This window comes from Homo sapiens, chromosome 2 (genome assembly GCF_000001405.40).
Source record: "Homo sapiens chromosome 2, GRCh38.p14 Primary Assembly".
Classification (NCBI taxonomy): domain Eukaryota; kingdom Metazoa; phylum Chordata; class Mammalia; order Primates; family Hominidae; genus Homo; species Homo sapiens.
Genome location: NC_000002.12, coordinates 64,434,730 through 64,462,028, shown reverse-complemented (window position 1 = coordinate 64,462,028; position 27,299 = coordinate 64,434,730). Strand labels below are relative to the sequence as shown.

Below are 27,299 nucleotides of genomic sequence, written 5' to 3'. Positions count from 1 at the left end.
TTTGTATCTACATTGTGCTAAGATTATATTTGCTGATTAAAAACCCACTGCATCTTTCAACATCTGAATGGATTAACTGTAGTATATCTATGCAATGGAATGCAATAAAAACTATTGATATACACATGAATGACTCTCAAATGCATTATGCAAATTGAGAAGCCAGCTCTAAAAGATTACATGTTATACGATTGTTTTTATGACATTCAGAAAAATGCAAAACTATGGGGAGGGAGAATGGATCTGTGGACGCCTAATTAGGGTTAGGAACGGGGGACGAATTTATCTGCAAAGGAGTAGCACAAAGGAATTTTTTGAGATGATGAAATGATCCCGCATTCTGATTAAGATGGTAGTTACATGACTATATGTATATGTTAAAACTCAGAACTTTATACCAAAAGAGTGAATTTGCTGTATGCAAATTATATTTTAAAAGAACCCACTGCATTTACCATTCACAATGTAAGTTATTAGGTCTCTGAGGGCCCCAAGAGACTTTTCTTCTGTTTATCAGTGTGGGGAATGCAGGAAAAAGTTATCTTGAGGCATAAGTGTGAAAGTGAGGAATCACTGCTATGCCACGTGGTCTATGCTAAGTACTCTATACCTGGCGCCAAATGTAGCATGTTATAAACTGGAAACTGTTTTGTAGAAAATTCCTTTATTATAGTGCAAATTACTTTCAGCAGTGACATAATGTAACAACACATTTAGCAACATTTTACACCACACAGTAAATAAGAAAGTGTTTCTTTGAAAATATGTCATCATAGGAACATTATTTCTACATTAATGCCAGAAAATGCCAAGGCCGTTTATCTCAAGGCAAACAGGGCTCCCTCCTTCCTTTTGGGTATTTTCTTTTTAACACAAATGAAATGACTTGCCATTTTAACAAATCCTCAATTCTAAAAGTGATCTCTCAGGGGGCTTTGAACTAAGGTCGGCAAGATTTGAAATGGGGCTTCAAAATTTTAAATAATAATTTTAAAATACTTCTGGAATAGCCCAAAAAGTAGAAGTCACTTCTATTAAGTTTTAAGTAGATATACACACTCACTCCAATTTTACTGTAGAAATGGACAGATTGTCTAAAGCCTGCTTTCTATTCCCCCAGAGCCTGATTGTTATTTATACTCCTTGGTTTTGGTTATTGCAGAACTAGGGCTCTGGTCAGAAATAACACCTTACATACCCGAATACTTTCCTGTGGAAGCTTTACATTGCATTTTCCATCCTGAAATTCTCACCTTAGACCTTACAGGCCCAGGAGAGGGTGTGAATATTGTTTTCAGTTTACAGCTAAAGCCCCTTACTAATTTGGGCTATACCTGAATCAAATCATCACATCATTTAGATTAATCCCAATAGGCTTATCCAAGCGGTTCCCACTAACCTCACAGAGAAACAAACAGTTAACATTGTATTTTCACACTAAGCTGCCTAAGGGCTTGGCTGCTAATGAGTTAGCTGATAGGTAGACAGAATAAGCGTGTCAATTCCAATCAGTACACGCCCTGCTCCTCTAGTTTCTGCTGAATTATGCAGTGGGTGGGAATGGTTGGCCACTCAAAACAGTCTTCCTATGGGGCTCTTCCACCATAAGTTGGATCAAAACTCCACAAATGTATTTCAAGGTGCCCTTTAAGTCTCTCAAATTTAGGGACTTTTAAGTGACAAGCCATGAGAAGTTAATCACAGGCTTGAAAATACCTGGAACCACAGAACAGCCCCCACGGAACAGGCTGAATATGGTTAAATAAGTTGGCTGGTACATAAAGCTTTTCAATGTACAGCCAGTCTTGTTGGATACAGTGTCTTCTTATATAATACAATGGAACTGTGCTAAACAGTTTCAAAGTTGAGAAGAATCCAAATGTATCACCTATAAAAAATTCATAATTTTAGTTTATTTTAGACTTTGGTACTGAAACACTGTCTACATTCTTGACACTTGAAAATGACATGGTCACTTCAGTGCCTCTGCATGTTGTGTAAAAAAAAAAAAAAAACTCAAAAAAGGAAAGCAGGACAAGGATGTGTCATTACAAGACACAGTATGCTGTACAAACAAAACCTAAATTATATATAAATACACCCCCACCCCAGAACCCTGTCTTCCCTCACTACCTGATCAAAGCAATGCCAAGGGTCCCTCCCTCCAGGGCCAATGTAGCTTTTAAAGTCCAGAACCCAGGACTTTAAGCATCCCTTGCCTTGCGGTGACGTTTACAGTACTGCAACCTCCTGTTGGAGTCACCTGTTTGATCAGTTCCGTAAGTGCAGGGTAACACCTACAGCTTAATTGGAAGCATTCACTCTACTGGCTGGATTCAAAGACCTGGAGTCCTGGGAGTTAACCTTTCAGATAAACTAACTGGATCATTTCCTAATCTGGATCCTATCTAATCCTACTATCTCCTCAGAGCCAACACAGTAGGAAGCATCTTCTACTCTGAAGCTTCCAAAGGCATTACTTAGGGATATTGGTGAGGGTCACATAAGAAAAGTTATACAATGAGCTAACAGCTTAAGTTGATATAAATTACTTCCAAGTAAGTTATTCAGGGCCGTTTGCTTCTGCTTTACACTGCATTCCACAGTCATTTTCATATTATTCTTTTAAAAGTTTATACTATAGTCACTTTAAAAATTGTCTAAGCAATCACCTCTTTGTGTTTTTGATTAATAACAACTTAATGAGCTATTATATAAATCAAGAGAGAAATAATTAGTCTTAAGGAAGCCAATAATGTGCTAATTCCCAGTAAGGAGAAAAAGCAATGTAAATAGAATTTTACATAACCAACAATAACTTGGAAAGCAGTTTTATCAAAATGGTTTTGCAAAGGTTTCCCAAAAGCACTTACAGCAGTTTATATCAAGAGATCCTAAGTTTAGGGGTATGGAGAATCTCAATTCTTTAAAGCAGAAATTCACCTGTTTCATAATTGTAATATGTAATTTTCTCCCCTTGGACCTAAGATATTTATACATTCAAAAGTTTACAACTTGCTGTTCTTGAGACATTGTTCATTCTTTAATACATACATTGAGTATAAATAAATAACTACAAGAAAGCTTCAACAATCTGAATTAACATTATGCTGTGCAAAACAAAAACAAAAACAAAAACAAAAAACAAAAAAAAAGTCAAACCTTGAACAACCTACATTCTATGTAAATACCCTGACTAAAATATTGGTTGTGCTACACAATTCCACTTTAGTGCAGAAATGCATTGATTTCACTGTACCGTTGTTGTTGGCTTTTTAAGTGTCTTTAGCACTTCTGTTTCTAAGCATTGCCTTGCTTTGAAAAGATGAATAATTTGCTACCAAATCACAAATCATCACAAATCCATTTTAGTTTGGTCTGAATAAAATCCAGCATAAATGTATTATTTTATTCTGGGTATAATGGCTCGGTGTCTTTGTCCCAACAGCTTTCTTCTTAAGGGCAAACCACCCTTAAGTGAAACTTGCCATTTGTTTTTGTTTTCTTTTTAAGTCTCCAGATCTTGCTAGGACACTTCTTCCAGACCAACAGTCAGATAGTTGTGGCACGTGATCCTATTTGAAATAGAGGTGGTTTAAATCAGCCAAGCTTGGTGATCTGGAGGTCTCCATTTATCTTTATGGTGTCAATTGCAGATAACGTTTGAATGCGATGGTAAAAATCAAAAAGTTGGTGTCCATCCACAAACACTCGGAAACGTGGGTGCTCACAAAGAATTTCCACCTGGAAGAAACAAAATAATAATCCACAATTTCAATGAACGCTACTGGGGAAAACAAACAATACTTCATTTTAGAGAAAGAAAGGCAGTATCTTCAGTGGTTCACAAACATCAGAATGCATTGAGACCTGCAGAGGGCTTGTTAGAACACAGATTGTTGGGCTCTACCTCCAAAATTTCTGATTCCTGTGTAGAATGTAAGTGTAAAAGCTTTTTCCTCAAGTAATTTACCATAAAGTTCAATTACTGGTAGTGTGCTATGATGGGTTTATTAAAAGCATTGGCATTCACCATGTAAGGAGGCTCCATATGTGATACTAGTCACATTTATTTTATATTACTAAATTTTATCACCAAGAAGGGCCTATTTCACTTCAGTTTTGCTGTTGGGAGCATTATATTCCTCCTGGCAGTCAGAAGCTGTGGTTACTCACATTCATGAGCTATGCATTAAGGTTCATCACTAAGAAACTATCCTAGCCAAGAGGAGCCCAAGGGGACATCACCATTCTAGAGAAGGGGATGAGGAGAGATAATGGGTCAAGGGTGCCTTCCAGAGACTATAACTAGAAGTGCAACTATCTCAATTCTACCACCAATGCAAAAATCATGGATTCTTATTTTCCCCAGAATGTAAGAAGAGAAGTGAAAGAATTACTTCTTCATGAGGCACTTGAAAATTTCTAGATGAAGGGTAACCAGTTAAGTGTAGTTGTGTTTTATTGGGCTCACATGTAACATGGAGCTTTTAACTGAGTTGTCATTATTGTGATGTAATGTTAAGGTGTAATGACAATTCATCACTAGGTCTGACCCCTTTTTAACACCATTACTACTTGCATTTCCCTTTATTTTTTTTTTTTTTGACAGAGCCTTGCTCTGTCACCCAGGCTGGAGTGCAGTGATGCACACATAGCTCACTGCAGCCTTGAATTCCTGGGCTCAAGCAATCCTCCCGTCTCAGCCTCCCAAGTAGCTAGGACTACAGGTGTGTGACACCATGGCAGGCTAATTTTTTTTTTTTTAAAGGCAGGGTTTTTGCTGTGTTTCCTAGGCTGGTCTTGAACTCCTTTGCTCAAGCAATCCTCTTGCCTCAGCCTCCCAAAGTGGTGGGATTATAGGCACAAGCCACTGTGCCACTACCTGCATCTCTTATTTGGCATTGCCTTTCATAGAGGAAGGGGCTGCTAATGCTGCTTGATTGGATGAAAAGTTTGGATTGTGCTTCCTGCCCAGAAGATAGTGGGGAGCAAATCTTTATTCATCCAGCCCCAAGGGAAGGAATTTGTCAGCCACACAGCCTGTAACCATGAAATAGACTGAGGCTAATTAATCCAGAGGGGGAAACAAGGACACGAACATGGCCTCATTAGCAAAGGGAACAAGAGAAAATGAAATGATCATCATCATATTCTTTAAAATGTCATACAAATAAAAGAGCTACTTATTAGCTCTCAACCTTATTAATATTAATATTTAATAAGTGGGTACTTAGTATTGATTAATCAATCAGATATTTGGGGGTAGGTATCTACTATATGTTGGGTACTACATAGAAAAGTTACTTATTCTTAACAATTTGGACATGTAAATATGGGTCTATTTAAATGTATGACCTGAATAGAACTAAGAAGATACTATGGCAAGTGTTAATTTATATCAGCAAACAGAGCTCTTTTGATCTTTTTTTTTCACCATTGGGTGACAAATTTCCTGGACATGCAGAAATTCTGGCTGCTTCAAGTGTTCTTGGCACACACTAGGTAAGTCGAACATTATCAGCCTGCCAGTGGCTGGAGCCGAGGCACTCGAGGTACTCACCCTGAATGGCTGGTCTGGAATGAATGGAAAGTAAGGGATTGCTGACTGTTCTTCACCCCTCTCCCCAGATATACAAGAATTTCTGAGTAGCTGCCGATCTGTGAACACAGCTTTGAGTTCGATTGCCACATCGGCAGGAGGGTCTTCTGAGTCCCCACAGGTCAAGCTGATTGCAAAGCTGAAAAGAAAATCATCCCACTGATTAAGGGTTGGATATAAAAACATTTCAAAATGACCCAAGTGCTTATATTTCTTCTTCCTCCTCTGGGTTTGTCCATTTTTAAGAGGCCACTACTCTTCAAGAGAGGTTAGATTATGGAGAAGTAAGTCAAACCAGCTTATTTTGTTACCTAAAGCAAGCTCTGGTGAAAACTTTGGTGTTGAAAATGACTAAAATTAGAGAATTCCACTTCGGAATTCTCAAAAACAGCCACAGAAATTGACCAGGGGAAATAATGTTAAGTTGGGTTCTTATTCATCTTGATAGTTCTTGCTCCTGGCACCATGTTTCAAAACCATTAAAAAAAAAAAAAAAAATCCTCTGGCCTCCCTAAGGGTCAAAGAGAAAATGTGGGCCTATATTTATAATCTCTGATATAAATAGCTGTCTGGAGAAATGATGGCTGGGATTCATACATATTCGTTTCATGGGAACATGGTACTTTCTTGGCACTGGCAACTAGCAACACTGTCCACAAGGAGAGGAAGAGGAGTGCTAAACCACAACAGAAGTGGGCAGGGCTCAGCCACAGCCTGATAGTTCTGTCCTGACAAAGACTCTGCCTTACCTCTCTGGGTTGAGGTCTACGATGCCCATCACTAACACCTTCTTGCCTGGTCTCATGCCACCTTTAATGTGCCCACAAAATGGAACTATCTGAAAAGGGTGGGAGAAGAAAAATGAATTTTACAGCCTGTTAGGGAAAAGCCAAGACCTCAGACCCTGAAGGCCTGACCCACTGGAAAATGCAATAAACAAATGAATAAAATTTTAAAAAGCAATGAGAAAGGAGGAAGGTACAGGCAGAGACACAGAGCAAAATCATTTACCAGTCGTGGGAAGTACACGTCCGCTTGAACTGGAGAGCTCAAAGAGTTGTTTAAATGGCCATCATCTAGTTTCTAAAAATAGAAGTACACAGATTGGCTTTCCATGGGCTCTTTTTTGGGGGGCTGGAGGAAGAACCCACACAGATGTGGTGGAATCCAGCAGCCTTCCACATGCACACAGTGTCTGCAGATGATGCCTCTTCACCGTCTCTTAGATAATCTCATCACCCCCGAACAAAACCCATCCTTTCCACCCGGTAGTTAAGCCTCTGAAGATCCGCAGACCCTTCAGATCCAGATCAAAATCAAGGTCGAGGTCCACCGAAGAGCCAGAGCCCCACGCCGGAGGAGGGCAGGCCCCTCTCCAACCGTAAACGCTTCTGGAAGCGCGGTGGGCCAGGCCTGTCCTTCGGGACGTGACTGAAGTGCAGCGGCCGTGCTCAACTTCTCTCGGGAGCCCCGGGCGCCGACCCATTTCCAAGGGGGAATCCCCGGTACGTCGGGGGCGGTGGCGGGGCGCGCGCCCCGGACACACTCACCCACGCGCACACCTGGCTGGCGGTTGCACGGCACAGAGGGGGCTGTCGGGCGTCCCTACCCGCCATCCTCCCCAAACTCCCTCCCCAGCCCAGAGCCCCGCAGCCCGGGAGCCTCTCCAGCCCCTAACACCGGCCGCGCGCAGCCAGCGGCTGCTAACAGGTACCGGGCGCCTTCCCACGCGCCGGGCGCCGGCCGGGCCTGCGGCTGCTCAGCACCCCAGCACTGCTGGAGCAGGCGGCGGCGGAGTGCGGGACGGCGGGGAGGGGCGCCTCGCGCGCGCCCTGCCACACTCACCACCACGGCATCGCTGTCGGCCACTGATCCCGCCATCTTCTTGCCCGGCGCGGCGGGGTACGTGGGACGCGGCGCGCGGGCGGGGATCCCGGGGCTGTCCTGCGCGGGGCGGGGGCGGGGGCGCGGGTCCGAGCTGGCGGCGGGCGCGCGCACACACGAGGGGGCGCGCGCGCGCGCGCCCGGGGCCCGGCGCCGACCTGGCAGGCAGAGCCTGGGAGGAGGGGAGGGGAGGGAGGCAGCGCGAGCTGGGAGGGCGAAGGTGCTTGCCGCGGCCCAGAACGGCCCCGGACCCGGGCCGACGGGGCTGCTTGCTGCCGCTGCCGCTGCCGCTGCCCGACCAAGAAAAGTGGCGAGGGCCGTGCCGCGTCGGCCCTGGGCAGCATTTAAAGGCCTCCGGGGCCCGGCTCGGGAACCGGGAACAGGGCGGGGACCCGGCGGGGCTGCCGCGGCTTGCTCAGCGGGCCCTGCCCCTCGGCCATTGGACGGTGGCGGAGGCCGGGGCGGGAGGGACGGGCCTGTCCGGGTCCGGGAGGGCGGGGGCCCTGTCGGCTCTCACCGGCCAGAGGGTGGGCAGGGCCGGGGCTGGAGAAGTGAGGGCCCGAGCCGGTCAGGTGACAGGTGCTCGTGCCACCCGCGCCCCTCCCTCCAGCCTCCTTCCTCCTGCCACGTCCTGGGCGCTGGTGGGGCGATGGGAGGCGAGGTCGAGGGAAGATTGGGTGCTGGGGGTGGTATTCCAGAGTGGGAGACTTGGCAGGATTTCTTTCAGAGAATTCCAACAAAATCGGGGGAAGGATTCATTCTGCTCTCTAGGGCAGAAAGAGAATGGAAGGTCTGAAGGCTTGCAGAAATAAATGTGTGACCTGAAAGAACGAAGCAGAGAGGACTCAAGGTAGGGACCTTTCTATCCCAGGAGGCTAGATACAGAAAGGTCGCTCTTCCCTGTGGAAGGACAGGCAGGTCTAGGGGTCCCTGGACTCTCTCGAGCAGGAGTCAAAGCCTTACCAAATCAAAGTGGGCGCAGTCACTGTCCTCAGAGAGCCTCCATTGAGCCCTGTTTTTAACAAGTCACTTGCCCAGTCTGGGGTAGTCAGCTTCTCACTGAAAATCTCCTCATACCCTTTGTGGAGTACTTCCCAGGGGATACACACCTCTTTTATTCAAGCCAGAAATTCCTTTATGGCATTTCCACACTAGGACGATTATGTAACTTCTCAGATAAAGCTGTATCAACATATCCTCTATTAGGTGACATCCTTGGCTGAAACATTCCATTGCATGAATCACCGGGGCGTTCTATGCTAATAAGCAGGGAGCATGTGTGACCTACTGCAGTCCCAGAGGGCCCCTCAGAGGCTCCTTTTTTTTTTTTTTTTTTTTTTTTTAAATTGAGACGGAGTCTCCCTCTGTGGCCCAGGCTGGAGTGCAGTGGCGCGATCTCAGCTCACTGCAACCTTCGCCGCCCGGGGAGGCTTCTTTCTTCTAGTCACTGCAATTGGCTGTGTGGCCTAGAACATCAATGTGGCTTTTGTGTCTTAGTTTTCCCTTTATGGACCAGAGCTAATGATGGTAATCTCAGTTGAGCAGGGAGAATTACCTGCACACGCCTGTAAGCCTCACTCATATCCTCTGGAAGTGGTTCTTGAACTAGATAGAGGCTAAAGCGCAGTACGCTTGTGGCTGCAGCACACTTTGTTTACCAGTCTTAGCTCAAAATCACACTTTATTACTTTAAAATGTTAGGCACTTATAGGAAATGATTGACATTTGAAAGCATACTTTAGTATGTATCAATTTCTGAGAGTCTGGTATAGAGAAGAAGCATTAAAGTGCAGTAGTTCTTTATCATTAACTGAGTGACACAATAAGGGTGACACTACATGTGATGGTGGTTAAAGAGCCGGTGTCTCGCGTTCAAATCCTGGCTCTACTATTCACTAGCTGTGTGATCTTGGAAAAATTACTAAACTTCTCTGTGCCTTAGTTTCTTCATCTGTGACTCAGAGATGACAATGATGATAATAATGCCTATCTCAGGTTATTGGGAAGATTAAGTAAATACCTTCCTTAAAACAGTATTGGGGACATAGTAAGCACTTATTATACCAAAATACTGAGTGCCTGCTGTATACCAGGCACTGGGGATCCAGCAGGCTACTTTTTTGCTGAGCTTACATTCTAGTGGGCAAAGGAAATCAATAAACAAAATATGTCGGGTGACAAAAGTGTTAGGAAAAAGTAATAAGGCCAGGTGCGGTGGCTCATGCCTATAATCCCAGCAATATAGGAGGCTGAGGCAAGAGGATCACTTGAGGCCAAGAGTTTGAGACAGGCCTGGGCAACACAGAGAGACTCTGTCTCTACAAAAATAAAAAAAAAAATTAGCTGGGTGTGGTGGTGTGCACCTGTAGTCCCAGCTACTTGGGAGGCTGAGGTGGGAGGATCACTTGAAGCCAGGAGGTCAAGGCTGCAGTGAGCTGTGATCTCACCACTCTACTGCAGCTTGGGTGACAGAGTGAGAACCTGTCTCAATAATAATAAAAATAATTAAAAAGCCAGTAGAGAGAGAGATAGGAGGTAGGGTGATGCTATTTATACAGGATGGTCAGGGAAGCCACCTCTGGTAAAGTGACATTTGAGAAGACCCCTGAAGGAGGGGGGTGAGTCATGTGGACATCTGGAGGAAGAGTTTGCTGGCACAGGGAACTGCAAGGGCAAAGTCCCCAAGTACTGGGGCTGGGGGCAGTGACTGAGGAGATGTGTAGCTAGAAATGGATAGCCCTTCTACACTGTGGTTGAGGATTGGCTTTTACATGGGGAAATAGGAAGATATTAAAAGTTTCTGAGCAAAGGAGGGACATAGTTTGCCTTCTATTGTAGATTCATCCACATGCTGCTGTATGGAGTGGCCTTTGGAGAGAGGGTGGATGATAGGAGGGAGGGTAAAAATGGGACCTAGGAGATTCCTATAGCATTCCAAACAAGACGTGATGGTGGCCTTGACATGGTGGAAGTGGTGAAGATGTGAGAAGCCCTGGGCCCTTGATAAGTCCCAGCTGTTATCCTGCAGCTTGGAGAGTTCATATGGTCTTCTGAGCCTCAGTTTCCTCACTTGCAGAATTAAGGGGCAGAACTCATTCATCATTCCCTCTTAGCTCTTAGAAAGCTCTGGTTCATGAAAAGCTGTGTAAATACTATCTAAATTGAAATGGGTTTGAGAGTAGGTGCTGCTGAATGAAAATAATCTTGGGTTGAATCTTTTGATAAGTGCTTTTGTAGGGCGAAGAATAACCCTTTGATTTGTTTTGTAAGTGGAGTTTAAGATATTTGGATTGCTGGAGATGAGTTTCTTACATTTTAGGAATGTAAAGAATAGGAAGGTACTAAACGTGCTCAGAATGTTTTATCATGGAAAATTGCCTTTTATTCCAAAAGTGCTTGATTCCTTCTCAGTCTATAGAATGGTTTATTTTGAATATGAAGAGCAGAGAGAAAGCCTGAATGAGTTTTTTTGCTGTAACTAAAAGTTGAGCAGGGTCAAACTATCTCTTATGGGGAAAAGCCATTAGCAAACTAATGAATTATAGAGCTTAAAAAATTCTTTTTTGAGTTGTATAGCAAAGAATAGGCAAAATTTGCTCCATGCTTTGATTATAGGTATTTGTGTGTAAAAACATTAACCAAATTGGGACCCATTTATGAAATGCAGTAGTTAAATTTCAAGATGAACCATGTTACCACTGGAAACTACTAAAAACGTTAAAGAAGTGGGGAAGGCAGTCAAACAGATTATTAGCTTTGAAAAAAAGTACAAACAAATCTTTGAAGATGGGCTTTGCTAAATGATTTTTCCAGAAGAAAATAGTAGATTACTTCCTTTTTACCTTAACATTTTATATGTTTTGTTCAAATGTATGCACATGGAATTTCTAATATTGGGAGGAAGAATAAATATTGATGACAATTCAGCAACTATTTTATCAGTATTGCTACATGCCGTGGTACTATGGAGATAGGTGAAAATGCATGAGTCTCATCCTCAGGAAACTTACCGTCTACTCTGGGACATAATGGCAGGATGTATTAGTGGGTAAGATAATAAAGGCCTCAGACCCACAGCCTGAGCACTGATGTGGGGAGATTCACTCCCATTTGGAGGATTAAGGCCACTTTCTGAAGGAGGTGGCATATCCCTAAGCATATGCATAGCAGCAACTGCTGCAGAACTACAACAACAAGTCTTCGAAGACCACACTGCAGCTCTGTTTGTGGCCTGAATTCTAATCCCACTCTTCTCTCTGGTGTGGCAACCAGCTGAACTGAACCCCTGCTCCCAGAGGCTGCCTTTCGTCTGTGCCTTGGTCCAGAGAGGCACGTGCCTCCATCCCTTCCACCATGCCTGCCATCTGAGGCCTCCTATGGGCCATGATCCCAAGGCCCAACTTGAACTTACAGACCACTCATTTTCTATCGGTGTGTATATACACATTTTCTAAAGCAGGGTTTCTCCTCACAGTAGTGACATTTTAGGCTAGGAAACCCTTTTTTGTGGGGGGCTGTCTGATGTGTTAGAAGACGTTGAGCACTAGATGCAAATAGCACTTCCCCCTCCTAGTGTGACAACCAAAAATGTCTTTAGATATTGACAAATGCCCCTCTTGGAAGGGAAGGCACAAATTGTCCCCAGTTGAGGCTCAGGATACACTACCCCAAAATGTAACTGTAGGAGGCTAGAATATGGCACCCCAAAATATACTTCTTTGGCATATTTTGAGCTGATTATTCTAAGAAACTGCAGCTGGAAAAGCTGTCCTTTTGTAAAAGAAATGTATATCTATAAAGGAAATCTAATACAGTATCTGCATCATGAAGAGGGCTGCTCCAGACAACTTTTATTTTCTGGGTGACTTTATCTACATAACAAGATGACCTTTATTCACCATACGTTCGTACTTTCACCCTCCCACAACTTACGTTGCCACCATCCTCTTGAAGCCCTAAGCCCTATTCCTTTCTGTAGCTCAGGATACTATATGAGCTCCAACCATCTGACCCTTTGGAGTCTCATAATGTGTGGGACTCCCGTGTGTATGTATGTAATTAAAATGTTTTCCTCCTGTTAACCTGTCTTATGTCAAATTAATTCATAGTCCAGCCAAGGAACCTACAAGGGTAGAGGGAAGCCAGTTTTCACCCTGTAACAACCAATGATCTAGAAGGTTCCTTAAGATTCCTATTATCCATATTTATGTATATGATATGAAATTTTTTCCAGTCAAATCTAGATTTGATACATGCACATCAGAAACACCTTCCTTTTTATTTGGCAAGTCATTGCTTCCTGATTACCTAGGAGCACTTTGCAAATGATTCCACAAAGAACCTCTAAACTGAAGGATGACCCATGAGGGACCCTGTGGGTGTAGCTGCCAGATCAAAATGTCTTTGTAATATTGAGAGATTTGTGTGCATTGTGCATTCTGTTCCATAATATTGCCATGTTTATTTTGATGTGGACATAATGTGCTCCCCACGCCTTTACCTATAGTACAGCATCCCAAATGTTTATCTTGTTTACCCTGCAGCTTTGACTCCCTCCTCACCCCAGCTCTCAAAGGATGGTGGTATTCCACTTTGAGGAATAAGACACTGCACAGTGTTACAGGTCCATTCAAGCTTTCAGTTCTGCATAATTGCTTTTTCAGGCCAGTCCGCTCATGATCAATATTCATGTAGGCAGCAAAATACACAAACTCAGCATCCTTTTGTTTACCTACTTAGGTAGGAGGGCAAACATTTATCAGGCTGTATTTCTATATTTCACAATGTGATTATGGTTCTTAATTATTTTAGGAACTATGGTCATGGTTATCAAATAATTATTTTAGACACACACAAATGTGTGTTGTACCAAAGTAATTAGGGGACAGCCATAAAACTTGGCAGTCAATGCCAGTTCCAACATTTCACTTATTTTTGGTTTATTTATGAGGAGACTAGAATGAGCCTTCTGCTTGTGTTTTAATTACTTAGTGCAGAAAGGATTGATTTCAGAAAATCTCCAGCTTAAGAAGAGAATAATGAACGCATTCCCAGGAGGAGCTCAAGGCTTCAAAGGTATGCTCTGCTTCAAGCCCCGGGGAATGTCACCGTGGACCCTTTACGTGTCTGAGAAGTCCTCCCTAGAACAGAAAGCCTGGCCAATGGAGAAGTGGAATGCGCGCTGTCCAGGGAAACAGAACCCTTGCTTCCAGCATTTGGAACTGACAGTGTGAATGAGATATTTTAACACTCTTTCCAGTGGAGCTTTTTGTGTATAAAGAGTCAACCATGTGCTTCTGAGCCTTCTCTCCAGCCTCACCTTTGGCAATTCCAACAGGCGGGTCTGTGGTCAGCCAATCTTTTACCCATCAGGAATGTGACAGGCCTGTGTGGCGGTGCTCCAGGCCTAATTATGCTCTCTCATTATGCTTGTCATTTCTGTTTTCATTTGCTCGTTTATAGTTCTCCTCTTTACCGCCTCTGTGATTTTATTTTCTTGTTGTCAAGTGGCATAAAGGGCTTCTTAGTTTTGTAGTTTCATGGAAACTTGCCTGGCTTGGCTGGGTGGAAGAAGACCAAGATTTGGATTTAGCAGTCATTTGGAAATCCTGACTAATGGGGAGGAAAACCCAGGAGGCATGTTGCCAGGTGGTCATTTGATTTTTGGAGGAAACATATTTGGATGACACAGATTTCTGGATTTTTTCAAAGGTGAACTACACAGAGTATGGGTTAACAGCACAGCTTCTGAGCAAACCACCAACCAGAAGAGACCTGGGAATTTAAACCTGGCATCCAAATTTGATTGCCCAAGGTGACTGAGAGAAAGCATACTTCATTTATTTATTCAAGAACAATTTATTGAGCTATGCTCTGTTTTAGTTGCCATTATGATAATTTTTAGTTTTTTTAAAAGAGCAAAAACGACCACATGCATTACTTGCACTTAAAATACTTGCCCTCCTCTTAGATACATATTTCCTAAGGATATCTCTGCTAGCCTCATATCATAGATTCCTCCCCTGCACAATGCCTCTTCCATGTGACATATTCAGAGTGGATGTAGGAGCTCCCTTGCCAACATGGCAACAGAGCCCAGAAAATCAAAATGAAATGCTTTCAATTCAGGGGCTCGTTGCATCCCACCTCCATTTAGGTAATATGATTTCCATCTAAATCCAGTTTTTCTGGTACATGTTGATTTCAGGCCTGAATTGTTCAAATGATTATCCCATAGAGAAAGATTAAGAGTTGAAGAAAATGTTTTAAACCGAAGAAGAAATTCACATTGACAGTCTACATTGATTCAACTCAGCACATTTCATTCATTCACATTATTGGCCTTTGTTGGTTCAGTGCTTCTCTGAAACCTGATAATTAGTTCAAACTGTATAAATTCAGGAGGCTTTGGGCTGGCACGACTTTTTAAAAGATTGCCGTGTGTGTGTGTGTGTGTGTGTGTGTGTGTGTGTGTGAAGGTGGGGTAAAATGGAGAGGGGAAATTTCAGCTTTTTAAATTTTAATTTTAATTGTTATGTATTATTTGCACATTTTTATGGGGGTTCATGTGATATTTTGTTACAGGCATAGAATGTGTAATGATCAAGTCAAGGTCTTTAGGGTATCCATCACCTCGAGTATTTATCATTTCTGTGTGTTGGGAACATCTCAAGTTCTCTTTTTTCGCTATTTTGAAATATAGAATACATTATTGCTAACTATAGTCACCCAACTCTACTATTGAACATTAGAACTTATTCCTTCTATCTAACTGTATGTTCGTACCTGTTAACCAATCCCTCTTCATCCCCTGCCTCCCTCACACCCTTCTCAGCCTCTGGTAACAATCCTTCTACTTTCTACCTCCATGAAATCAACTCTTTTAGCTCCCACATATGAGTGAAAATATGTGATATTTGTCATTCTGTGCCTGTCTTATTTCACTTAACATAACGATCTCCAGTTCCATTTATGTTGCTGGAAATGATATGATTCAACTGTTTTTTGTGGCCAAGTAGTATTTCATTGTGTTTATATACCACATTTTCTTTATCCATTCATCCATTGATGGACACTTAGGTTGCTTCATGTCTTTGCTATTGTGTATAGTGCAGCAATAAGCATAGGAGTGCAGGTATCTCTTTGATATACTGATTTCCTTTCCTTTGGATAAATACCTAGAAGTGGGATTACTGGATTTTATGGTAGTTCTATTTGCAGAGTTTTTTTTTTTTTTTTTTTTGAGAACTCTCCATACTGTTTTCCATAATGTCTGTACTAACTTACATTCCCACCAACAGTGTATAAGAGTTCCCTTTTCTCCAAAACCTTGCCAGCATTTGTCATTTCTTTCTTTTTAGTAATAGCTATTCTAACTGGGGTAAGATGATACCTCCTTGTGGTTTTGATTTGCATTTTCCTGATGATGAGTGATGTTGAACATTTTTTCATATACCTGTTGGCCATTCATATGTCTTCTTTTGAGAAATGTCTATTCATGTCCTTTGCCCACTTTTTAATGGGATTTGTATTTTTTGTTTGTTTATTTTATTTTGTTTTGTTTTGTTTTTGCTGAGGTTTCAGCTTTTCCTAAAAGCCAATCCTCATTTTAATTACCAGGAATAAACAAAAGTAACTTGGGGAGAGAACACAAAGCAGCTGTCTGGGCTTGATTTTGATCCCATCAGTGTAATGCCAGGGAAAACTCCATCGTGAGGAAGAGAAGAACCTCATATCTTTTTTCTTTTTTTGAGATGACTCAGGCAGAGATACAAATATTAAATTTCTACCCTGTGGTGCTTTCTCACTTTCTCTGCTAACAGGTGTTCTCCTTGACAGTAAGGTGGAATCTTCCCACATGCAACAGATCCCAGCCAGTTCTGCCCACCTAGTGCATCTATCACTTAATAATACAAAATGGCTTGTTTCCATAGTAACCCGCTCTTCTCACCTGGACAGGTTGGCCCTTGTCATTCCTGGCCCTTCAGACACCTCCCCACTCCTTCCAGTAGATCTGGGCTTCCTCCATCCTCCTGAGCAGGTTCTTCCTCTATAGCCTGTCTTTTGTAGGCTAGATTTACTGAGTAGATCCTCACCCAGCCTGAAAGAGAAAATTAAGATCCAATAAACACATACCATTTCTATATGATCCTTCTTTGGAAGCAGGAGTAGGTAAGTTCCTGTCTTTCAGGAGGCCACTGTGCCTCCTTTTCTCTTTTAGTTATTGTTGACTGACTGGTGCTATAGCGAGGACGGACAGAAAAATGAGTGTCATCTCATTTCAAGCCAAGGTGATATAGCTAACAATTATTCTGGATAAGTTAAAACTAAGGGTTGGCACTAGATGATTTATATAGATTATCCCATGCCAGGTGATATATTAATAGAAATGAGAAGGAATAAGCTTCAGAGAAAAGAGGATGGGCAGAATTGCTGATTATGAGCAGGACGTGTGTTTTATCAGGTCTAACAATGATTTTAGTCCACAATGTTGTTTATTCTCAATGTTCTAATAGAAGATCATAAAACAGCCACAGGCTCACCCCAAAGCCATTAGTAATTATTACACAATGCTAAAATAGAGCATCACCCAGGAATCAGAGAGTATCTACACCTTATAGTAAGTAAATTGTAATTCAGTTTCCTTCTGCAATATTGAGCTTGTGTTTGGTCAATGTGGTCTTTTTTTCTTTTTCTTTTGAGACGGAGTCTTGCTCTGTTACCCAGGCTGGAATGCAGTGCACAATCTTGGCTCACTGCAACCTCCATTTCCCTGGCTCAAGCGATTCTTCTGCCTCAGCCTCTGGGATTGGGCTGGGACTACAGTCATGTGCCACCACGCCTGGTTAATTTTTGTATTTTTTTAGTAAAGATGGAGTTTCACCATGTTGACCAGGCTGGTCTCGAACTCCTGACCTCAAGTGATCTGCCTGCCTTGGCCTTCCAGAGTGCTGGGATTATAGGCATGAGCCACTGCGCCCAGGCAGCATGGTCTTTTAAAAACATAAATTGTGTAATGTCAACCCTCCTTAAAATCACTTGTTGGATTCTCTTGGTATTTAGAATGAAATCCCGAATTCCTTTTCCATGACCTTCAAGGCCCTGTAGGAGCTGGACCTGCCTCTCCAACTTTACCTGGGGGCCATGCTCTCTCCTGCTCCCCACTCTTGAGTGAAAACTGGCCTCCCTGGTGTTCTTCCAGCAGCCAAGCGTGCTCATGCTTTAGGGCCTTTGCATTTGCTGTTCCCCCTACCTGGAATGTGCTTCCCCAAACACTTGTCAGGTTCTTCATCCTTAAATCCTTAGCTCAGATGTCACCTCCTGGGAGAAGCCTTCCCTAATGCAGCCCTAACCAGGGCCTTTTACTGCATCCTCATCTGCACAGTATTTATCTCCATCTCCAGTTGTCTTGTTTATTACCTGGTGTGGCCTTTCCACCCCAGAAGGTAAGATCCCTGAGCACAGAATCTTGTCTTTTTCATGACTGTGAGAATTAGGCATGAAGATTTGTTGTTTGAATGAATGAGTGAATAGATGAGTTGATGAATAATGCATGGCCACAGATCTGCAGATGATATGTAACCTCATAGCTGTTGAGGACTCCAGGGTCCCAAGGCTGGAATTCACTTACTGACCTCCTGTTTCACGGTCTCAGAACAATTCCCCTTAGGTGTCCTTCCCACCATCGAGAAGGCTCAAGTCTAGACAGCATATGGATTTTATGTAAGTTCATGTTAAATATTAGCCAAAATTGTTGAACCTAAATTTAAAATGTCAGAAAATACCCTTGTAAGCAATAAAAAATGGAATTTGTAAGGTCAAGCACAGAAAAGATAATAGTGAAAAAAATCCTAAAGCACAAACATAGCAATATAATGTCTATATTAGTGGTATTATTGTTTCCTCATCTTGATTAGGTCAACTCTCAGGCTCTTTAGAGTAACCTAATATCCCTAATGCCAAACATTAACTCTGACATCTTCTGTAAGAGGGATGAGCAATGGAAGTGCTACCTTTTCCAGATTACTTACTTAATTTTATTTAACAAGCACTGTGTAGTGTTCACTATGTGCTAGGTACTTTTCTAAGTACTTGACAAATACCGCCACAGATTGGGTTCTCTGGAAGCAGTAGTTGAAACAGAGTTCAGGGTGTGAGATGCTTATTAGGGATTAACACCTTTGAAGGGAAAGCAGGAAGAAGTCGAACTGCAACGTAGGCTCAGCAAAACCTCAGCCAATCTGGCAGAGTGTCCTGCATCAGGCCCCCACCTCACTCAGTCACCGAATGTGCCCTGCCCCCCGCCCCCAGCAAGGAAGAGCACAGCTTGAGGCAAGGCAGCTCTTCTGCAGCTGAGCCAAACTGGAGTTGCTGAGAGCTAGGGGGAGGGTGTCTGCTGACCATAGTCCCTGCAATTGAGCAGTGAGTTCTTCCTTGAAGTGGAATGTGGGGATTGCATCTCTGTATCTGCTCAAATGTTAATTCATTTGACCCTTGTAACAACCCTATGAGGTAGGTCCTTTTATTACTCCCATTTTACAGATGAAAAAACTGACGTACAGAGAAATTAGGTAACTTCCCAAACTAGGTCAGATAGCAGAGCTGGGATTTAACCCAGGCAGTGTGGCTCTAGAATCAGAGCTGTTAACTACTCAGCTATGCTGTCTTATTACTTCGTAAAGAAGGTTAAGGGTAGCCTAATAATAATAATGACAGCAATATTGGCACTACACTTTGACGTTGTAAAGTGCACTCACATCAGTGCTTCAGTTTTTTATTTAGTTCTTTGTAAGGTGGTGTGTGCGTGTGTGTGTGTTTGCCTGATCTGGTGCATGTATTAAGAACGACATCAAAAGGTGATAATTTGGGGTTGTCTGTGGCACTTAAATATTAAATCCTGCCTGCAAAAATCTAGGAATCAGAACTAGAGGCTGAGGTGCAATGACTGGGCTTGAATTCCAGGACCAGACCGTATGTGCTGGGGTTCTTATGATGACCTGGGAAGAGGAAAGGTCCTCTTTAGTGTTTAGGACAAGAGAGTGAGTAGGTGGAAGAAAGGTTGTAAAATGTAGGGTGGGGCTGGCCACCTCTGAGCTCTGCCAGGCAAGTGAAGCGTTAGTAGAGAAAAGGACCTGAGGGAAAATTAGGAAGCACCATGAGAAAGAGGGTGAAGAAGGGAGAGGAAGGCGTTCTGCAGGCATGAGCAGTGTGGGCTGTGGGCGCTCTTCAGTAGGGTCTGTAAGACAATACAACACTGTGCATGACCAAGAGGGCGGGAGAGGGCTCAGTGTGGGTATATGGCTGTTCCTCAGAATGGCAATGTGTGGACTCAGACTGAAGTTGGGGGACAGAGGAAATCTAGAGGCAGTAGAACATTTCCCGTCACCTTTGTGGAATTATAGCTACACATACTCTTTTTTTTTTGAGACAGAGTCTTGCTCTGTTGCCCAGGCTGGAGTGCAGTGGCACGATCTCAGCTTACTGCAACCTCCACCTCCCAGGTTCAAGCGATTCTCCTGCCTCAGCCTCCCAAGTAGCTGGGATTACAGGCACGCGCCACCACGCCTGGCTAATTTTTTGTATTTTTAGTAGAGACGGGTTTCGCCATGTTGGTCAGGCTGGCCTCGAACTCCTGACTTCAGGTGATCCACCCGCCTTAGCCTCCCAAAGTGCTGGGATTACAGGCATAAGCCACCGTGCCCAGCCTAGCTACACATAATCTTTTAAAGATATTTATTTATTTATTTATTTTTGAGACAGTGTCTTGCTGTGTTCCCAGGCTGGAGCACAGTAGTTTGATTTTGGCTCAATGCAGCCTTGACCTCCTGGGTTCAAGCAATCCTCCCATCTCAGCCTCCTGAGTAGCTGGGGCTACATGCATGGGCCACCACGCATGTTACTTTTAAAATTTTCTTTATTTTTTGTAGAGATGAGGTCTCACTGTGTTGCCCAGGCTGGTCTTCAACTCCTGGACTCAAGCAATCCTCCTGCCTTGGCCTCTCAAAGTGCTAGGATTACAAGTGTAAGCCACTGCACCCGGGCTTTCAAAGATATTTTAAAATAATTTCCTACATTGTGAAATCATACTTCTTGTTCTAAAGACTGGGCTTAGGCAAGGAAGAAATCCAAGGATGGCAAATTTTATTTTGGATGATGCAGAATACACATTTCCCCCTAACTTACAATTCTATTTTTGTCTAGAAGAGTTCATGTAATAAAAGTTATTATCCTTAAGACTTTTAGCTCCAGTGGGATTAACTGGCTTCAAATTCTTTTTCCGGAGTTGGTGAAGAGTCCTCTCTGAGCCCAATAGAAGAATTCTGTTTTAATCCCTTGTTACTTTTATTTGTATATCAAGCATAGTCCAAAAGGCTGGAACAAAATCTTGGTAGTAAGCACTCTGCAAAAATAGGCAGCCGGGATACAATTCAGCAATGTGACATATAAACTTCCCAACAGACCAAATGTGTCCTCTGAGCCAGGGGGATTAAAGGATTCTACTTGGGATCTGAATGAAGGTTATTCTTGTTACTGAGCTGATTATGTCACCATCATTGACCCTTATGTTAACAGGTTCTTTCCCTTGTGACATATTCTATTCCATTCTCTTGTGGATATTTTAACATGATTTATTCATTTGCCCATTTTCGTAACACATAAAGCCATTTTAGAAACTTGCCCTATAGCCCACAGCATAACAATACTGTAAATAATTCACAAAGGAAAGCAAGTACAGAGGTGTTTAAAAAGTAATGTACACCAACTAGAAGAGAACTCATGAGGCCAACAACAGATCTTGCTTAGAGTAGATACCCAAGCTCATTTATTACACTAAGCCAAATTAAGAGAATGTGAAGAGACAGTGTATCCGGAGCATAACATATTTCTAGTACCATCCTCTGGAAAATGAGCATGGTTTCAGAGGAACACAGCTTTTCCTGGAGTAAACAGTTTGTGTTTGGGGAGGGAGTAAATAACTTATTTCTGAAATCTAGCATTTTATTGAAGAATGTTTTCTCAAACCTGACAAACCTTATGAAGGCAGAGGCAGGAATAAGTGTGGAGGGTCATTGTCTAGCTGTGGGGATGGCAGCAATGGTGGAGTGAGAGGAGTCTTGGAATCCTGCACATTCCCCACTGACCCCTTGGTGATTCTGAACTGCCTTCCTGTAGTCACTTCTCAGCTGCGCACAGTTGGTGGAACCCAGTGAAAATAAGCCATATTCCAGGGAGAACAAAAAAGGTGGAGCATATGGTAGTTCTATTGCTAGTTTTTTGAGAAACCTCCAGACCGTTCTCCATAGTGGTTGCACTAATTTACATTCTCACCGACACTGTATAAGTTCCCTTCTCTCTGCCTCCTCATCAGCATTTGTTATTTTTTTGCCTTTTTGATAATAGCCATTCCAACTGGCGTGAGATGATATCTCATTGTGGTTTTGATTTGCATTTCCCTGATCAAAATGTCACTCTATATTCCATAAATATCTACAATTATTACGTGTCAATAAAAGATAAAAGGAAAAAAGTCTATTTCTGGACTTTGAAATGCTTATATTTAATCCTCAGACACTGCATTTGGGAGCCACCTCTGCTTCCAGAACACTTGTCTCTTCCAAGAGCTGGATTCAGTATCAAAAGGTGAGCTCTTTCGTAGAATGCTATACTCAACAAAGAGTCAGGACACATTCTTATAAAAATCAAAGCATTTGACCACTAAGAGGTGAAATTGCTGGAACATAGGGTATACACATCTAATAGTTTTATACTGCTAGGTTTTTGTCCAGTGGGGCTGGACCAACTAAATTCATTTTCTACTCCCATGTGTGATGCATTTCCACTCACCTGTACCAACCTTAGTACACATTCATTTTCCCTTTCTAAAAAACAGAGACAAAAACACAATAGCCAGCTCACTAAAATTCAACCTCTAAAATATATCCGGTCATAGAGAGATCTAAAATGAATTTGATGGGCATCAATATGAACCTTCACCCTCTGCTTCTACCCTGAAATGCAGGCCACACACATACTCTTCAGCCTGATGTTGTTCTAGAATTAACTGTGCACTTCTTTCATGAGATGACATTCAAGCCACACAAAGACAGCAAGGTCAATGAGGGCTAGAAGGGAAAGTAAGCATGGCTCATAAAACCAAGAGGTACTTAAGATTTAACAAGATTAACAAGTGCTATTGAAAAGAGCTACCTGGCCTGAGTCACAGGCAGGGAGAAAGATGCCAGCTCAATTCTCCTGGCCTCACTAAAATCTTGCATGCAATTGCAATAAAGCTCTTTGGAAAGTGACAATGTCTTTAATGATTATTTCTCTTGAACCTTTGCAGAAAGAATGAGGTGTTCATTTTCACTGGCCCATTTATTTGCTGTTAACATTTCTTTCGTCTGCCTTGTTTGAGAAGGTTATGTCTGAAGCTTGCCCAGCTTCTTAAGTTCAAGTCATTTAGTACACAGTAAACTCACAGTGGACTCTTTTGCAACAATTCCCCCTGAAAAACTATAGTTTCAGTGGGATTCAGCAACAGCGAGCTAAGGGAGACAATCCTTCTACTTTTCAGGGAGTGTGCAAATGCATGAATGAGTGAAACTCACTAAATTATAGACAAAACTTGTCATTCAGATGTCTCCCAATCTTTTTGCTCTGGGCAAAAGCAGTTTTTCCAGATCAGGATATTCAGATTTTATGAGAATTGAGATTTTCAGAATACACTGTGCTTTATATTATATATGCCGAAAGTTGGCTTTAAATGCTCAATAACTAGATGATCTCAGGAATGTTGAGTAATCCCTGTATAAGCAATTTGCTTAGTGCTATATATAGAAGAAACTCTGGAAGCTATACGAGTTACATATATGCATTTCAATACAGGTGGGTAGACAGAGCACAGGTGTTTGTATAGATGCCTGATCTTTTTGGATGTGTCCATATGGAAGATACAAGTGCTCTGCCTGTCAGGGTAGGTAGCTTGGTGCTTTCATTCTGGTGATACTTCCAGCTGACTCCTTCATATTAATTCTCCCCTTCTTCCTTGCAAACAGGACCAATTTTGGGGTGGGTAGCAGTTTGTCCCCTAAAAGGCTCTATTCTCTAAACTTCCTTGCTGTTCAGGGTAGTAATGTAATGTCATTCTGGCCAATGAGATTTACATCTCATTGGTCTAATTTATGGGGATCTCAGAAAAGCCATTTTTTCCCTCATAAAAAGTTGGCATTTGGCTTTTCCTCTTTATTCTTCCTCTTTCTTTCTTACTGGAACACAACAGACATAAGGAGGGCAAACAGAAAGGTAAGAGGGGTCTGATCCTTGGATGGCCAACCCTGGAGAACCGACATCCAGATTTCTTATTCAAGGGAATAAACCACTTGTTTCAGTCACCATAGTCAGGTTTCTGTTTTGTGCAGCAGAAACCATGATACACGTAACCTAACTTGGAGCAGGATGCTTACCTAAGGAGCCCTTGTTCTAAACAAGAGTGGTTCAATTGCCCCAAGAAGTAACTGCACTTGGGGTTTGAAGGAGACCGATTTTCAAACATCCAGTTGGTTTGGTTAACCAAAAGAAAACAAAAAAGCTCTGAAATTCCTCTCTTAATCATTGAATTGCTTTAATGGTAACTATGATCCAAAAGCAAGAAGATATTTGTCTGACGGTCTCAGATTTAGTGGAAGAAAGCTTGATGGAGTCTGTCTGTATACTCCTGGCCATATTTATTTCTTGTTTTGGAGACAGGGTCTTGCTCTGACACCTAGGCTGGAGTGCAGTGGTGCAATCACAGCTCACTGCAACCTCAACCTCCCAGGCTCAAGCAATCTTCCCCTCCCATCTCAGCCTCCCAAGTAGCTGGGATTACAGGCACATACCACCACACCTGGCTAATTTTTAAATTTTTTTTGTAGAGACAGTGTCTCGCTATGTTGCCCAGGCTGGCCTTGAACTCGTGGGCTCAAGTGATCCTCCCACCTCGGCCTCCCAAAGTGGTGGGATTATAGGCATGAGCCATGGCGCCCAGTCCATATGGATTCCTTAGGTTCTCTCTTCCTCTCCTCCCCCCCCCAGCAATCCAATCTTGTAAGTTTCTTTAGTAAACAAATAAAAGCATCAAAAACAAAAATCAGTTTCTTACCCTGTAACACCAAATAATCAAGCTTACTTAGTGTGCACACATCTGTGAATGTGCAGTGAATATGTGGGCACATTATTGATACCATTCTTTAGCATAGAGGGAGAACCTAGACTTTTTTTTTCAGTTAAGGCTCTAGTCTAAATCATGTAAACATACATTTTAGTTGGTAAATAGAAATGGGCCTGTGAATTGAGAGGAAAAGTATCCAGAGTGGCGGATTTCCGTTTGACTTTTGCCATAATGCTTTGTCCACCTCAACTGAGAGCGAACAGTAAGTATTGGTAGAACAGCAAATAGCTTCATCTGAGTAGGGTGTTTGGGACTCATGCACATGACAAGATTGGAAAGGCAGATTGGGTATAGGGTACCTTGGGGCCAGGTTTAGGAGTTTGGAATTTATCTTATAGGCTACCCTTTCCTGGAAGCTTCCTCAGAACCTCAGGGCAATGAGATGTTTCACAAGAGAACGTTCCAGGGTCAGGTAAGTTTGAGAACTACACATGCTATATCCCTCCCTCTTGAAAATTCACACCATATAATTGCATAATAAAAGCTGAGGAGTTCTGTATTTAAAAAAACTGGTTAAACTTAATGCAGGACTCCTCCCTGGATTATAGCTGTTAGGAGGTATACACTTCAGAAGGTGCTTTAGGGGGAGCCAGTGGAGGTCTGTGAAAAGAGTTATGTAAGCATATGTTTTCGAAAGGTTTATCTGAAAACAATGTACAATCTAGATTAAAATTTGGAAAGGAGGGTTTTTGAAAAAAGAACTAGAGGCAAGGAACCATAGGTCAGGGTCTCCTCAACCTGGCTTTATATCAGAATCACTTGGAGATTTAAAAAAATTCCCTGACTTCATTGTACTTTTAAAGGTTCTGATTCAGTAGGTGCGAGTTGGGCCTGGGAGTATGTGTGTGTGCATGCATGTGCACGTGTGTGTGTGTGTGCATATGTGTGTGATTGCAAGGCAAAAGCTAATGTGGGGTTATTTATGAGTCCAAACTAATTTCTGAGGATTATGATAGTCCAGTTGAAAGTTAATGAGCCTGAACTTGGATTGAGGCAGTGGGAATGACAAAGATGAGAAGGATGCATAGACAAAGTGAAGCAAGAATCTGTTAAATACATGCCTTGGCAAGTGACAGAATGTGAGGATAGAAAAGAACAGGGAGAAATTCAAAGAGGTTTTTGCCTGGGTTACTGGGGAGAATGATCATATCACTAAAGGACGTTGAAGGTTAGGAGGCAAGGCAGCATTGTGAGGGAAGTGGGCGCTTGGTCTTGGACATGTTTAGGTTGAAATGCAAACATATAAGAACCCCTACCAAGTGGTTGAAAATACAGATTTTAAATACAGGAGAATGAAGGGGTCTAGATCCACAGAGAAATGGTAGTTATAGCTCTGGAGATCGCTGAACTTTCTGAGGGATGAGGTAGAAAGAGGGAAAAGCCAAGAATTGAGACATGGGGATGCCTGCATTCCGGCAGTCAGGATCTTGAGATTCAGTGGGGATGGTCAGAGGAACAGAAGAGTCAAGAATTTTCCTCCCCTGTTATGACAATCGGGGAGGGAAGCCTCCGGAAGGGTGCACTGATTTAGGGTCCAGTCCTTTCAGCCAGATCTTACAGCAGACAGCTATGTGCTGCAGGCTTTGGGTTTGACTCTGTGCTCTACTTCTTATTTCCACTGTGTTCTTGAGCAAGTTTGTTTAATTCTCAGAGCCTCAGTTTCCTCATGTCTAAAATGAGGATTACACTGCCTCATGCAGTAGCCTTCTAACATATGTAAATGCTGTATGATGGTATATAATATGGTACATACATGGTAGTGATTATTATCTTAGTGAAGTGTCCTTTAACCCCCATTTAAAAATTAGCTGTACAGACAAAATAAGTGAAAAGAAATAATAATCAACCATAATCCTATCATCTTAAAAAAATCAACTGTGTCCAGGTACAGTGGCTCACACTTGTAATCCCAATACTTCAGGAGGCTGAGGCTGGAGTTTGAGCCCAGGAGTTTGAGACCACTTGGGCAATATAGGGAGACTCCATCTCTACAAAAAAAAAAAAAAAATTATCCAGGTGTGGAGAGGATGAGACAGCTATTTGGGAGGCTGAGGTAGGAGGATTGTTTGAGCCCAGGAGATTGAGGCTGCAGTGAGCTGAGATTGTGCCACAGCAACCCAGCTTGGGCAATAGAATAAGACCCTGTCTCAAAAAAAAAAAATTATCTTTATTTTACATGTTTGATTTTTGTTTTTGACCACATGCATATATCATTTTACATAGATATAGCATCACTACAATTTTGTAGTATGCTTTTCAGTTTAGCATTACATAATAAGAATGTTCTCTTATTGTTACTTAACTTTCTTATTTTATTTGCTCAGCAATTTTTCAGTAAGTGGATATTTGAGTTGCTTCCAGTGTTGTGTTCTGTTTTATTTTAAATAATGATTAAATTAACTTAAACACTAATATAGCCCTTTAATTTTATTTACCTATTTTCTCCTAAGCCATTTAATTTTATTTATTTATCTATTTCTTCCCAAGCCATTTGACTTTTTAAAATTACTTTATTTTGGATGAACTATTCAGCAGCGGAATTATTGGATCAAAAGTATAGTGAATGATTTTCAAAATATATTGCTGAATGGCTTTTCAAAGGTT

General features: G+C 42.3%; 1 protein-coding gene and 2 long non-coding RNA genes across 3 annotated transcripts in view, besides 3 other annotated features; 2 read left to right on the top strand and 1 right to left on the bottom strand.

Annotated features, from left to right (window-relative positions):
* Nucleotides 1-647: 647 nt before the first annotated feature.
* Nucleotides 648-7,867, bottom strand: LGALSL (galectin like). Its single transcript, NM_014181.3, has 5 exons — nt 7,448-7,867; nt 6,614-6,685; nt 6,352-6,440; nt 5,564-5,741; nt 648-3,744 (listed from the first exon to the last, which is right to left on the bottom strand). The coding sequence occupies exons 1-5, from the start codon at nt 7,481-7,483 to the stop codon at nt 3,601-3,603; spliced, it is 519 nt and encodes a 172-aa protein (NP_054900.2). The 5' UTR covers nt 7,484-7,867; the 3' UTR covers nt 648-3,600.
* LGALSL-DT (LGALSL divergent transcript) overlaps nt 7,151-27,299 on the top strand; it is a 63,923-nt gene continuing 43,774 nt past the window's right edge. The window contains exon 1 of the long non-coding RNA XR_002959392.2: nt 7,151-7,504. This is a non-coding gene — a long non-coding RNA (LGALSL divergent transcript). The remainder of the gene's footprint in view (nt 7,505-27,299) is intronic.
* Nucleotides 7,221-7,520: a silencer, noted in NCBI's record as "silent region_11554". NCBI's record gives its function as "represses an Ori minimal core promoter by ATAC-STARR-seq in GM12878 lymphoblastoid cells {active_cell/tissue: GM12878}" and the evidence as "EXISTENCE:reporter gene assay evidence [ECO:0000049][PMID:35858748]".
* Nucleotides 7,611-7,680: a silencer, noted in NCBI's record as "silent region_11553". NCBI's record gives its function as "represses an Ori minimal core promoter by ATAC-STARR-seq in GM12878 lymphoblastoid cells {active_cell/tissue: GM12878}" and the evidence as "EXISTENCE:reporter gene assay evidence [ECO:0000049][PMID:35858748]".
* Nucleotides 7,691-8,110: a silencer, noted in NCBI's record as "silent region_11552". NCBI's record gives its function as "represses an Ori minimal core promoter by ATAC-STARR-seq in GM12878 lymphoblastoid cells {active_cell/tissue: GM12878}" and the evidence as "EXISTENCE:reporter gene assay evidence [ECO:0000049][PMID:35858748]".
* LOC124907775 (uncharacterized) lies at nt 16,571-22,791 on the top strand. The gene is made up of 2 exons (XR_007086338.1): nt 16,571-16,657; nt 22,055-22,791. It is a non-coding gene; the product is annotated as an uncharacterized LOC124907775 (long non-coding RNA).